The 13,840-nt window shown below is 35.9% G+C and overlaps 1 protein-coding gene and 1 long non-coding RNA gene across 2 annotated transcripts in view, besides 8 other annotated features; one reads left to right on the plus strand and one right to left on the minus strand.

Annotated features, from left to right (window-relative positions):
- CFTR-AS2 (CFTR antisense RNA 2) overlaps positions 1-11,922 on the minus strand; it is a 42,625-nt gene extending 30,703 nt beyond the window's left edge. Inside the window, exon 1 of the long non-coding RNA NR_199597.1 lies at positions 11,858-11,922. This is a non-coding gene — a long non-coding RNA (CFTR antisense RNA 2). The remainder of the gene's footprint in view (positions 1-11,857) is intronic.
- Positions 1-13,840, plus strand: part of CFTR (CF transmembrane conductance regulator) — a 188,641-nt gene that overhangs the window by 155,469 nt on the left and 19,332 nt on the right. The window contains exon 23 of the mRNA NM_000492.4: positions 6,945-7,100. Coding sequence (NP_000483.3) covers positions 6,945-7,100 — 156 coding nt within the window. The remainder of the gene's footprint in view (positions 1-6,944; positions 7,101-13,840) is intronic.
- Positions 4,402-5,302: a DNaseI hypersensitive site, noted in NCBI's record as "DHS19 or 3849 + 12.5 kb DHS observed in primary human tracheal epithelial cells; the nucleotide coordinates are approximate for this feature". NCBI's record gives the evidence for it as "EXISTENCE:in vivo cleavage assay evidence [ECO:0001075][PMID:19897727, PMID:21895967]".
- Positions 7,406-8,238: a conserved region, noted in NCBI's record as "conserved_region; 4005 + 0.6 kb region conserved in human, cow and pig". NCBI's record gives the evidence for it as "COORDINATES:sequence alignment evidence [ECO:0000200][PMID:12782133]".
- Positions 7,406-12,023: a biological region, named in NCBI's record as "CFTR intron 20 enhancer". NCBI's record gives its function as "regulatory_interactions: CFTR".
- Positions 9,413-12,023: an enhancer, noted in NCBI's record as "Bg2.6 fragment used in the pGL3B-245/Bg2.6 reporter construct". NCBI's record gives its function as "activates a basal CFTR promoter in transfected Caco2 cells" and the evidence as "EXISTENCE:reporter gene assay evidence [ECO:0000049][PMID:11856314]".
- Positions 9,981-10,277: a DNaseI hypersensitive site, noted in NCBI's record as "novel epididymis-specific DHS; the nucleotide coordinates are approximate for this feature". NCBI's record gives the evidence for it as "EXISTENCE:in vivo cleavage assay evidence [ECO:0001075][PMID:24006278]".
- Positions 10,371-11,371: a DNaseI hypersensitive site, noted in NCBI's record as "DHS20 or 4005 + 4 kb DHS; the nucleotide coordinates are approximate for this feature". NCBI's record gives the evidence for it as "EXISTENCE:in vivo cleavage assay evidence [ECO:0001075][PMID:10708521, PMID:11856314]".
- Positions 10,679-10,712: a protein binding site, noted in NCBI's record as "20-FP1 HNF1-binding probe". NCBI's record gives the evidence for it as "EXISTENCE:protein binding evidence [ECO:0000024][PMID:14656222]".
- Positions 11,046-11,084: a protein binding site, noted in NCBI's record as "20-FP4 HNF1-binding probe". NCBI's record gives the evidence for it as "EXISTENCE:protein binding evidence [ECO:0000024][PMID:14656222]".

Genomic DNA, 13,840 nt, shown 5'->3' on the forward strand with positions numbered 1-13,840 from the left:
GTCTGTTACACTACTTGTTCTTTGTTTATATTTTTATTGTCTACTCTTTTTCTTTCCATTGTGGTTTTAATCGAGCATTTTATATGTTTCCATTTTCTTTTCTTAGCATAGTAATTCTTCTTTAAAAAAACATTTTTTAGTGGTTGCCCCTAGAGTTTGCAATATACATTTACAACTAATCTAAGTCCATTTTCAAATAATACTAAATAATTTCATGTGTAGTGCAAGTACCTTTTAATAATAAAACACTCCCAGTTCCACCTTCCAGTCTCTTGTATTATAGCTATAATTTAGTTCACTTACATATATGGGTATACCTAAGTATATACATTATCATATTTATGATTGAATATATTGATGAAATTATTTTGAAAAAACTGTTATCGTTAAATCAATTAAGAGTAAGAAAAATAGTTCTAATTTTATTATAAAATGAAATACCTTCATTTATTCATTCTCTAATACACTTTCTTTCTTTATGTAGATCCAAGTTTCTGACCTGTATAATTTTCCTTTTCTCTCTTCAGCTTCTTTGAACATTTCTTACCAGCCAGACCTACTGACAACAATTTTCCCCAATTTTTGTTTGTCTGATAGAGACTTTATTTCTTCTTGACTTTTGAAGAATAATTCCACAGGGCACAGAACTCTAGATTGGTGATTTCTTCCCCTCAAACCCTTAAATATTTCATTCCACTGCCTTCTTGCTTGCATTGTTTCTGAGAAGTTAGATATAATTCTTATCTTTGCCTTTCTATAGGTAAGATGTTTTTTCCTCTGGCTTCTATCAAGATTTTTTCTTTATGAACATGATATGCCTTTCTTTTTGAACATGATATGCCTTTCTTTTTGAACATGATATGCCTTTGTGTCGGATTTTTTTTGGCATTATTCTGCTTGGTTTTCTCTGAGTTTCTTGGATATGTGGTATGGTATCTGACACTAATTTGGAAAAATTCTCAGTCATTATTGCTTCAAATATTTCTTCTGTTCTTTTTTTTCCTTTATTCTCCTTCTGGTATTCCCATTACATGTATGTTACAGTTTTTGTAGTCATCCCGCTGTTTTGGATATTCTGTTTTTTTCAGTTTTTTTTTCCTTCGCATTTCAGTGTTGGAAGTTTCTATTGACATATTCTCAACCTCAGAGATTCTTTCTTCAGCTGTGTTCAGTCTACCAATGAGTCCATCAAAGGCATTTTACATTTTTATTACAGAATTTTTGACCTATAGAATTTCTTTTGATTCCATCTTTGAATCTCCATTTCTCTTCTGCTTTTCATCTGTTCTTGCATGTTGCCTACTTTTTCCATGAAAACCTTTAGCTTTTTTTTTTTTTCTTTTTGAGGTGGAGTCTCACTGTTGCCCAGGCTGGAGTGCAGTGGTGTGATCTTGGCTCACTGCAACCTCTGCCTCCTGGGTTCAAGTGATTCTCCTCCTCAGCCTCCCAAGTAGCTGGGATTACAGGTGCCTGCCACCATGCCTGAGTAATTTTTGTATTTTTAGTAGAGATGGGGTTTTATCATGTTGGCCAGGCGGGTCTTGAACTCCTAACCTCAAGTGATCTGCCCACCTTAGCCTCCCAAATTGCTGGGATTATAGGTGTGAGCCACCATGCCCTGCCTTTAGCATGTTAATCATAGTTGTTTTAAATTCCTGATCTGTTAATTCCAACATCCCTGTCATATCTGACTGTGGTTCTGATGCTTGCTCTGTGTTTTCAAATGGTGTTTTTTTTTTTTTGCCTTTTAGTAAGCCTTGTAATTTTTTATTGAAAGGTGGACATGATGTGCTGGGTAAAAGGAACTGTAGTAAATAGGCCTTTAGTAATGTACTGGTAGGTGTAGCAGAGGGTGAGGGAAGTATTCTGTAGTCCTATGATTAGGTTTTAGTCTTTTAGTGAGCCTGTGCGCCTGCAGCTTGGAAGCACTTGTGAAGTGTTTTTTCACCCCTTTTGGTGGGACATAGTGACTAGTGTGAGCGGGAGTTGAGTATTTCCCTTCCCCTAGGTCAGTTAGGCTCTGAAAAAACCCTGATAGGTTAGGCATGGTAAAATAGTCTCTTTTGAGGGCAGGCATTGTTATAAGAATAGAATGCTCTGGGGCCAGGTGCGGTGGCTCACGCCTGTAATCCCCGCACTTTGGGAGGCTAAGGCAGGTGGATCACCTGAGGTCAGGAGTTCGAGACCAGCCTGGCCAACATGGTGAAACCCCGTCTCTACTAAAAATACAAAAATCAGCCAGGTGTGGTGGCACACACCTATAATCCCAGCTACTCAGGAGGCTGAGGCAGGAGAACTGCTTGAACCCAGTAAGTGGAGGTTACAGTGACCCAAGATTGTGCCACTGCAGTCTAGTCTGGGTGACAGAGCAAGACTCCGTCTCAAAAAAAAAAGAATGCTCTGGCATATTTGAAAATGGTTACTTTTCCCTTTTTTTCTCTGATCTTCACTGTGAGAACCTGGTAAGCATCCTATAGGCAAAATTCATAAAAGTATAGAAGTCGGCCAGTGACTTGGACCCACTTGGAATTTTCTTGCTCTCACATCATGCACACTGAATCTCCAGCAATTTTTCACTTACAGTTTAGGTTTTCCTACCCTACTACTGGTTCTCTCAGAGGTTTCTGCTTATTGGTTTCTGTTTTGTAAGTTGTGATTCTCTGTACCTAACTGCCTGTCTCCCATTTTGGGGGGCAGTGGTTTGCCCTGTGACCTCACTTCTCTGACAGATCTAAGAAAAGTTGTTTATTTTTCAGTGTGCTCTGCTTTTTACTTGTTACGATGAAGCCAACCACTTTCAGAATTTCTACAAACCAGATCAGAATCTGGAAGTCCTGTTTTTTTATTTTTTTTATCCCTTTGTTTAGCATGTTACCTATCTTAACACATTTTAAATAAGTGAATGCATAGCTTATATCTACTTCTAGGTTATATGCTTCCTTAGAATAGGAATTGATTCTTAAAATGTCGTTCTGCTCACGCCTGTAATTCCAGCACTTTGGGAGGCCAAGGCAGGCGGATCACTTGGGGTCAGGAGTTCAAGACCAGCCTGGTCAACATGGTAAAACCCTGTGCCTGCAAAAAATACAAAAATTAGCTGGGCATGGTGGTGGCCATCTGTAATCCCAGCTACTAGGGAAGCTAAGGCATGAGAATCACTTGAACCTGGGAGGTGGAGGTTGCAGTGAGCTGAGATCGCGCCACTGCACTCCAGCCTGGGTGACAAGAGCAAAACTCCATCTCATAAATAAATAAATAAATAAATAAATAAATAATAAAAATAAAAAAATAAAATAAAACAAAAATTTTATTCTGAGCAGTCTCTGAAGAATATAAATTCTACTGCCTTGCCTTTAGAACTTATAACAGCATCTCGCAAACTATCACAAGATGCTCCAAACATACTTCTTATGTGCTGAATTAAGAAGTCAACTCAAATTTAGTATACTAGTAATATTTTTGGATATCCCAAAACACTGCCAGCTCAGCTTTAGGCTGCCCTTCTTGGGGGGGAAAAAAGCAGTTGAAATTTAGGACTTAAGTGGGCATCTCGTTTAATTTTTAATGGATTTCTATGTTGTTGGTTATGGTGAAGAGGTGAAAAGAATAAATATTCTGTGCAGAAAAATTATTCAGTCTTCATGTGAAAACACTTTGTCCATAGCAATTACTTTATGAAAAAGATGTGGTATTACTTTCTTTGCTCTTAACTGAGACCTTTAATTTAAAGAACCTATACTTTACAAGTTTTTATTTTCAATGCATGAAAAATGTAGCAGCTATTTCACAACCTTTACTTTTAAAATCCATTTTTCTTTTTAATCTCAAATAGTTTTTTCTTAAAACCTTTTGACTTTTTATCTAAATTGTAATAGCCAGAGCACCTTCCCACAACTAGAATATCTCATCCTTTTTGTCTTTTCTTTTTCCTCTCAAAATGCCTACTGGGAACTTAATTTGGAGTCAGATTCTTCATGATAAATCTGGACTTAATCAAAATTCCTCATATGGTATATTGTATATATCACAGTACTGGATAGTCCTCTGATTAAATAGATATTTGATAGTACTTTAAGGTCTATACTTTTGGATGAACTTAACTGCTTTCTCCATTTGTAGTCTCTTGAAAATACAGAAATTTCAGAAATAATTTATAAGAATATCAAGGATTCAAATCATATCAGCACAAACACCTAAATACTTGTTTGCTTTGTTAAACACATATCCCATTTTCTATCTTGATAAACATTGGTGTAAAGTAGTTGAATCATTCAGTGGGTATAAGCAGCATATTCTCAATACTATGTTTCATTAATAATTAATAGAGATATATGAACACATAAAAGATTCAATTATAATCACCTTGTGGATCTAAATTTCAGTTGACTTGTCATCTTGATTTCTGGAGACCACAAGGTAATGAAAAATAATTACAAGAGTCTTCCATCTGTTGCAGTATTAAAATGGCGAGTAAGACACCCTGAAAGGAAATGTTCTATTCATGGTACAATGCAATTACAGCTAGCACCAAATTCAACACTGTTTAACTTTCAACATATTATTTTGATTTATCTTGATCCAACATTCTCAGGGAGGAGGTGCATTGAAGTTATTAGAAAACACTGACTTAGATTTAGGGTATGTCTTAAAAGCTTATTTGCGGGAAGTACTCTAGCCTTATTCAACAGATCACTGAGAAGCCTGGAAAAACAAATCCCGGAAACTAATTATTATGTGCCAGTTATATAAACAAGAAGACTTTGTTGGGTACAAACCAGTGATTCCTTGCCTTTGAAAAATGTGTCAGATATCATGCATTACCAGCAGTTCAATGATATAAGGAAACCAGAGTAATAGCTAAAACCTTTAAAGCTAAACCAAAGATTTACAAATTGCCTCTTCATCCAGTCTTTCCCAACCTAAAAACTGAGTTCTCTAAAAATTTTAGTATTTTTTTCTGAAGAAAAGGGAACATGGACATTTATCTAATCCTCATTAGAAATCTGACTAATGATAACAAGGATTTAGACCTCAAGCACTTCTTACCAAAATTCTTGATATGACCTTATAGCAAATTACTTTCACCTGTTGAACTTTCCTTTCTTTTATTCCCCTGTACCTCACCTGCACTGGGCATATTCAAGTTGCTTATACAACACTTTACTATTGTGTTAGAAAAATCATGACACATGATGAATGTGTTTGTGCAACATGAGCTGATTCATAAATGAAAATGTGCATTGAAATTCCACAATATTTTAAAATTAGGAGTTTATCTAGCAATTGAACAAAATTGATTAAATCCATTATTTGTTAGATCAGCTAAATTACATAAGTTCATTCATCTGCTCATAAATCCATCCATTCTTCCATCTGGCTATCCCTTAGTCAATTCAAATAAATATTTATGGGGCACTTTGGGTAAGCCAGGTGCTAAGAATTCAATGCAAAACAAGATAGACTCCCCTGTCCTTGTTGAACTTATATTTTTGGTACAAACAAAAGCAATAATCAAGAAAAAATAAAAAAAGTACTGATTGTGATTAATAATATGAAGAAATTCAACAGAGTATTGTACTTAACATTTGATTGATCTGATTTTCTCAGTTGTCTGAGAACAAACATTTGTGAAAATCTCATTGTAGAGTTCTTACGATGGATAGGGGGTCAACTGTGTCATTATTGCTTATCAGCTTATCCCAAAGACCTAGTTTATTACCAGATTGCAAATAGTGTTCAATAAATTATTCTTATTAAGGGTTGTTATGTACTCTAAAACATTTATTGTGGTCCCTTCACTGGTTCTGGTTTACAAACTTACTTTTCTATGATGACATAGTATAGAAATTGAGAGTGAATATTTAGAAGTTCATTTTTATTATATATTTTTGAAGTATTGATATGTAGTGAATTAGAAATTTAAAAAGAAAACAAAACTGTCCTTCACTACAGATTGAAAAGCATTATACTAAAAGACCATTTGCTCAGTTATAGTATATAAAGGCCAAATGACTTAAAAACAAATTATGTAAGGAGAAGGAAACAACCATTTATTCAGTGCCACTAACTGTCAGCCAGTTTTTTCAGTGGTCAGTTAATGACTGCAGTAGTGTTCTACCTTGCTCAAAGCACCCTCCTCAAGTTCTGGCATCTAAGCTGACATCAGAACACAGAGTTGGGGCTCTCTGTGGGTCACCTCTAGCACTTGATCTCCTCATGCAGTGCATGGTGCTCTCACGTCTATGCTATGTTCTTATGGTCTTTAGGTAACAAGAATAATTTTCTTTCTTTTCCTTACTATACATTTTGCTTTCTGAAATTCCCTTCTCGCCAATCCAGGTGAATGTCAGAATGTGATTTGACAACTGTCCAAAGTACTCATTCACTGAGGAGTGGTAAGGCCTTCGCCCAACCTGCCTTCTCTGGGAATATACTGCTGCCTGAACATATCATTGTTTATTGCCAGGCTTGAACTTCACCAAATTAATTTATTAGGGTCAACATCTAAATATTAGAACTATTTCAGATTAATTTTTAAGTCGTATCCACTTTGGGTACTAGATCAAATTGCAGGTCTCTGCTTCTGGCTTGAGCCTATGTTTAGAGATGATGTGCATGAAGACACTCTTTGCTTTTCCTTTATGCAAAATGGGCATTTTCAATCTTTTTGTCATTAGTAAAGGTCAGTGATAAAGGAAGTCTGCATCAGGGGTCCAATTCCTTATGGCCAGTTTCTCTATTCTGTTCCAAGGTTGTTTGTCTCCATATATCAACATTGGTCAGGATTGAAAGTGTGCAACAAGGTTTGAATGAATAAGTGAAAATCTTCCACTGGTGACAGGATAAAATATTCCAATGGTTTTTATTGAAGTACAATACTGAATTATGTTTATGGCATGGTACCTATATGTCACAGAAGTGATCCCATCACTTTTACCTTATAGGTGGGCCTCTTGGGAAGAACTGGATCAGGGAAGAGTACTTTGTTATCAGCTTTTTTGAGACTACTGAACACTGAAGGAGAAATCCAGATCGATGGTGTGTCTTGGGATTCAATAACTTTGCAACAGTGGAGGAAAGCCTTTGGAGTGATACCACAGGTGAGCAAAAGGACTTAGCCAGAAAAAAGGCAACTAAATTATATTTTTTACTGCTATTTGATACTTGTACTCAAGAAATTCATATTACTCTGCAAAATATATTTGTTATGCATTGCTGTCTTTTTTCTCCAGTGCAGTTTTCTCATAGGCAGAAAAGATGTCTCTAAAAGTTTGGAATTCTCAAATTCTGGTTATTGAAATGTTCATAGCTTTGATAGTGTTTTTCAGAAGACCAAATTTACAGTGGGAGCCTTGGGCTTTTGTTTTTTAACAGCTCTTTTTTGTTCCTGCTTCAGTGGCCTGACCTCCAAGTTAGCAATCGCCAGGTTGAGAAATGCTTTGCGAGACATAACAGATGCTCCTGAAATAACAAACACTTGGAATCATGAGGTAGTGGAATTGAAAATAGAAAGTGTAGTGATTGTTTTTTGTTATTTGGATGGGATGAACAATGTCAGATTAGTCTGTAACTATTTTTTTTTAATGTCACTCTGATTTGGTCACAAAGGATCTCTAGTCTCATTGCCTTAGTATCATTCTACGAATTAGAATGTGTTACTGTGTAAGAGCACTTCTTGTATATGAGAGAAATAGCAACAGTTCCAGTTTAAAGTGATATAAATGGAAACCAAGAAATGTCTTTACTGGGACCAAATCTGGACAGCATTTACTGTATTTTTGCTGGTATTTTCTCTAGTCTTTCCGGGTATATTCACATTTAATGATCACTTTTCTCCCTTTGTGCTAATGGACACTGAATCCATTCCACTACCATAGTTCTTGCTAATACTACTCTACTTTTTACACAAAATTAAAATGCCAGGAGCACCTCCAGGTAGACTGACTATAAATCTAGACTGAAAAAAAAGCTTGTATTTCTTAACAGATTACCTTGTGGAACATTTGCTCCTTTCAACTAATGAGGCACTAAATATTGTAACTGCTCAACTGGTGCTTTTAATTTATTTGTCTAGACTTTGTCATGTTGCCAGAAGCTTTATCCTGGTTGGAGTTTTGAAAACAGTATTGTTTCTTCAGAAAGAAAAAAGGGATTGTCAGATGATCTAAAAATAAAGAAACACTGGAAATACAAGTATCCCAAGGTGATAGCATTAGGCAAGATAAAAATGTTGAAAAGCGAAAAAGAACTGGTTGATAGAGAAGTGTTGTTATTCAGTAGAACCTAAGTCTTGTGGTCCCATTTTTAATGAAAAATGGTGAATTTTTTGGTTTTTATTGTTCTTGTTCACACAAATCTGCCCATTAGAATAAGCCAAGCCCTAAAAATTAATTTCAGTTTCACTGGGAATCCTTTAGTTTATCTACTATGTAGTAGAGAGGTTTTGTTTTATTGCATGTTTGACGTAGGAACGTATATATGCAAGACATGGAGGAAAACCAAGTGGGCCAGAGTTTTGAAAATTCTTTATCTTTTCTTTCTGCCAAAGTGAGTCTCCCAAGTTTGTCTTTTTTTTTTCATTTCCACTCTTCTATGGTTTCTAGCATTATATAAACCAAACAAAAAAAATACGTTCAGAGATTCCTTCAGAAATGCTGGATGATCTTGATATCGATGCTTTTCATATATGTGTTTATGATGCTGGTTTCTGGGGCTGGCTCTCAGTATCACAAAGATGTCTGTAAACAGAATATGCTATTTCTTCTTTGTGACAAATTTTGAACATTATGTGAATGTCCAAGAAAGAGCAAAAGAGGGCAAACTTCTCATACATTTTTGATGTCGAAACCAAGAGACGCTTTTATTTTCCTAACTTTTCTTTGAAAGTTCAAATTAAGTAATTTTATCCTGTCCTAAAGTTTAAAAAGAAAAAAAAAAGGAAGAAGGAATTAAAAATCCAAAGAAAATTATGTTTGTTTGCTTTTCTGTTTTTTTCTTCCTTCCAACTCCGAGACTTTGCAAGGGCATAGTTCTGAAGATCTCTGACACTGAGACATTAGAGATCTCTGTATCAATGGATCATTTGTTTTCAGACATATGAAACAGGAACTTTGAACAAGAAATTTCCCCTCTTTTTCTCATAGTGATCCTGAGACATCAGCTGTGGAATCACAACACGTCATTAGTTTTGGCAGGTCCTTGCAGGTGTTTTGTTTTGTTTTATTAATGTTCTTCCCTCCTGTAGCTAGACAGCAATCTTGGAGAATCTGCCAGCTTGGAAGACTATTGTGTAAATTTCAAGGTGGAGCCTCCTTTAATTTGTTCTGTGTTACCTGTGAGCTGTGAGGTCATGAAGAGGAGACAATGAGGCTAATCATGAGAGCCCCATTGGTTTAGGCAATTAGAACAACAAGATCTAAAATGGTTTATTAGCCTTGAATTGTGTTAAGCACATAATTCATAAAAAACAGAAAAAATATTTTTAAATGTATGTCTAAATCTTCAGTTACAAGTTTGAAAGGTGACAAACTATTCTGAGGAAATGATTAGGCCTATTCTTGCAACGAGTCTTTATGATCTGAAAAGAATCTATGTCCACACATAACTCCCACCTCAAAGATGGGGCATCTTTTGCTCTGGGAGATATCAAATGCGACCAAAACAAGTGTTTGTAGATTTGAATGATGATTCAGCAGTGTAGCAGTTCTCACTCATTTTATAATAATTAACAACTTAATAATTAATTATTAAACTCCTACATGCTTAACATTATAAGTATGATAACTTCTGTGGTTACATAAAAGATATACATAGCACTTGTCCTTGATCTGTCACAGTGAGGTCCCAATCCAACCTATGAGCTTCAAATGAAAAGTTCAAAATTACACTCATTGTCATAAGTCAGAGATCAAAGGAAGAAAGGATTTAACCAAAATGATAAATTAAATATAGGTGATTAAATATAGTCATGGTTCAAGGCATGGGCCAGTTAGGGAGTGTGATGTGGGTAATTATGAAAGGCCAGCTCCCAAGCCCTGTTGTTGCTACTCCCCCACATCAGTCATCCTTCCTTTTTTTCTACTTCTACTGCAGTGCCTTCCTCATCTTTTCCCTTGCATCCCTCCATTATATGAGTCATACAAATTAGACTTTTCAAAGCAACATTAACATTGTGTGAATTTGGGGTTTTTGACTAATCCCAACATTCCACCCCCACATTCCAGTCCCACATGGGATTTGGAGCCTTGTTTATAAACCTGGCACTTCTAATATATCTTATCTTAGAGTAATCCTTGTATTTGTTTAATTTCCACTTAGCATTGTAAATACTTGCAGGTATCCTAGTTAAGAAAGCAAGGTTTAAACACAAAATCATCACCAATTAAAGCAGGCTAGATAAAGAATGTAATAGAAATGCTAGATAAAACAGATTTTTTCTTACTAAGTTTTCTGTCCCTTATAGAGTGCATAACACAATAACTTGCTTGATAAGAATTCAATGTACATTGTTTTGTGCTGAATCACTAAATGCTTGATTTCTGTAACAAGAGATTGTGGTTCCATCAGTATCTGGATTTTAGTCTGTGTAATCTTAGGCAAGTTATTTGATTTCTCTGTGCCTCTGTTTTCTTGTCTGTAAAATGAGTATAATGGTAGTAACTAATTCATTGTGTTTTTGTGAGGATTAAATGAGTTAATAACTAGTACTCCTCCCTGGCACATAGTAAGTACAATATGCTGTGCTGTGGTGGTTGTTATTATTTTTTATAGTTCCTTGAGCAAAAGAAATAATGTCCCCATCTTAGTATAATATTGGAGGTATATACCATAGAAGTGAACAAAAGAATATAGTTTCACAAAGAAAGTGATAATTAAGGCGGTTCATAAAGGGTCATAAAGCTTGTAGATTTTAGAAATGTGGGGGCATGAGGATGTGGAGAGGGTATTCCAGGATGCCAGACAGGGAGATTATGGATGAGTACTAAGATGAGAACTAGAAAAAGCTGAGGGGCAAAAGGTCAGAGGAGGCCACAAGTTAGGGAGTATTAGGAAAAAGAAGTTAATACTTGACAAGTGCCAACATGGCTTCACGAGGAATGGGTTGGGCCTTTTTGAGTGAGGAAGAGGCTGGTGAAAGGGTGGTGGAGGACACTGCTGCTGCTGATGGCATGGGGTGTAGGTGGCAGGAGAGGCAGGGACATGAGCTAGGAAACTCTCCAGCTATGAAGTGATGAGTCTGGAGTAATATAAGGACAGTAGGGGTGGAGTGCTGAACTTAAGGGAGGAGAGAAAAATAATTGGTATGGAAGTAGGTACAATGCAATTTTATTATTTCTGAGCCTAAAAATGTGAAATTTTTGATTATTTGGTCAGACCAGGGAAGTATTTTCTTTTATGCTATCTCTGAAAATGTATACACTAAAAAGTTGTAGTATAAAAAGGTTGTAAAGCATTAAGTAATTTTAGAGGAAACAATAATTTGGATATTTTACATGCAATCATTTATATGCAAATATATGTAAATATTACAAAATTATTCTCTATTTGTTACAAACCTTAAATATTTTTGACTGAGGAATATTTTATTCATCTAATTATAGCTACTTTGTTCTAACTAATAGATATTCTTGAAAACAAAGCAACACTTTTTTGGAGACAGAGTCTTGCACTGTCACCTAGACTTGAGTGTGTTACCTTGAACTCCAGGGCTCCAGTGATCCTCCCACCTCAGTCTCTTGGGTAGGTGGATTACAGGCCCACACTACCATGCCCAGCTGTATTAGTCCATCCTTTCATTGCTATAAAGAAATACCGGAAACTGGGTAATTTATAAAGAAAATAAATGTAACTGGCTCACGGTTCTTCAGGCTGTACGGGAAGCATAGCAGCATCTGCTTCTGAGGAGGCCTCAGGAAGTTTTCAATCATGGTGGAAGGCAAATAAGAAGCAGGCATGTTACACGACGAATCAGGAGCAAGACAAAGTGAGGGAGGAGGTGCCACACACTTTGAAATGAGCAGATCTCATGAGAACAGCGCCAAGAGGATGGTGCTATACCGTTCATGAGAAATCCACCCCCATGATCCAGTTACCTCCCACCAGGCCCCGCCTCCAACACTGGGAATTACAATTCAACATGAGATTTGGGCAGAGACACAGATCCAAACCATACCACCAGCTAATACCAAAAAAAAAAAAAAATTTTTTTTTTAAGACATGGTCTTACTATGTTCTACAGGCTGGTCTTAAACTCCTGGCCTCAAGTGATCCTCCCACCTTGGCCTCCCAAAGCACTGGGAATTCAGACATGAGTAACAGTGCCTGGCCAATACTTATTTTTAAACATTCTCTACCATAAACTTAGGATCTTGATTTGTTCACATTGAACAGATTTTTATTATACAGATTGAATTTATAAGAAAATGTTGCAGACATTGTCAAAAAGGGACGTCCAAACCACTGTGATATTTATAAGCATTTGGGCCACATTTTGATAGAACTATACACGGAGTGTGTGTGTGTGTGTGTGTGTATATATATATACACACACACATTATTTATATATATGTATATATGTATATATATATATGTATTTATATATATATGTGTATATGTATGTACACATTATTTACCTACCTACTGTGTGAGTGTGTGCATATATACACGCACACACACACACACAAATATATATATTTCCCTTCTGAGACAAAGCCAAACAGCACTGTATGCTTAAAGAAAAACAGTCACACTTCCCACTTATGTAATTTATATTACATCCAGTCACCACACCAGCCAAACTGCTTTATTGTTTTTTGTTTGACATCCAATGCTAAAGCATAATGCCTGTTGCAGTGAAATATACATGAGCAACCCTGAGAACTCAATATAGCCTCACGTGTTGCCACTGAGTTGAGTTGAGGAGTCAAGCTGTAGCAAAAAGGTTTGTCACCGGGTGAGTAATGGTGCTCTTATTTTTCTCTGGGTCTCAAGAAGTGCTCTTTATGACATATATGGCATTAAATAAATATCAGATATTTGCACATCCTAACTTTCCTATTGGTGAAGTTTCTTAAAAGAGAGATAAAGGGCCATTGTGTGATTGATAGTTTCAGGTATATTTTTGCTGCACAGTCAGTCCGAGTGTACCACGTAGGGCAAACCACGTAACTTCTCAGGGCCTTGACTGTTTCATTTGTAAACCAGAGAAAAGGACTTGGGTGACCTCCAAAGACCTTTCAAATTTGGAGATGAGTTTGTGGAAAGTTCAAACAGTTTAGAAAACAGAACTAAGACACCCACTGGCACCCCTGGAAGCAAGAGAGTGCCAGGTACTATTTGTAATACAGGAATGAAATACCTAATTGTATGAAATTGAATTCTAACTGAACCAGTTTGTTCAGTTAAATTTTTTTTTTCAATTAGAGTGCTTACTTCAGTATCTAACACTAGACAGTAAACTGTAGACAAAAGACCTACAGAATTTCTGAATGGTATCAAATTCACCACACTTAAAACTTTGGGATGTCTAATTTCAACCAACAGCTTTCTTTCTTCATAATGTTGAATATATGTGTATCTATTTTAGCTAAATTTAATATATATCAATATACTTTGATAGATATTTTATATAAACTATTAGACTATAGTATTATGAGTAAAAGACCCACCATTTCCCAAGCAATTATAAAGAACGATCAAAATTTTAATGGGTTGTTAGTATTATTTCTTTAAAGATTGTGATACTGATAAATATTTGGCCACATTTTAATAGAATTATACATGGGATGTGTGTGTGTGTGTGTGTGTGTGTATATGTGTGTGTGTATATATATATGGCAGT

The sequence above is a fragment of the Homo sapiens genome, chromosome 7 (genome assembly GCF_000001405.40).
Source record: "Homo sapiens chromosome 7, GRCh38.p14 Primary Assembly".
Taxonomy (NCBI): Eukaryota; Metazoa; Chordata; class Mammalia; order Primates; family Hominidae; genus Homo; species Homo sapiens.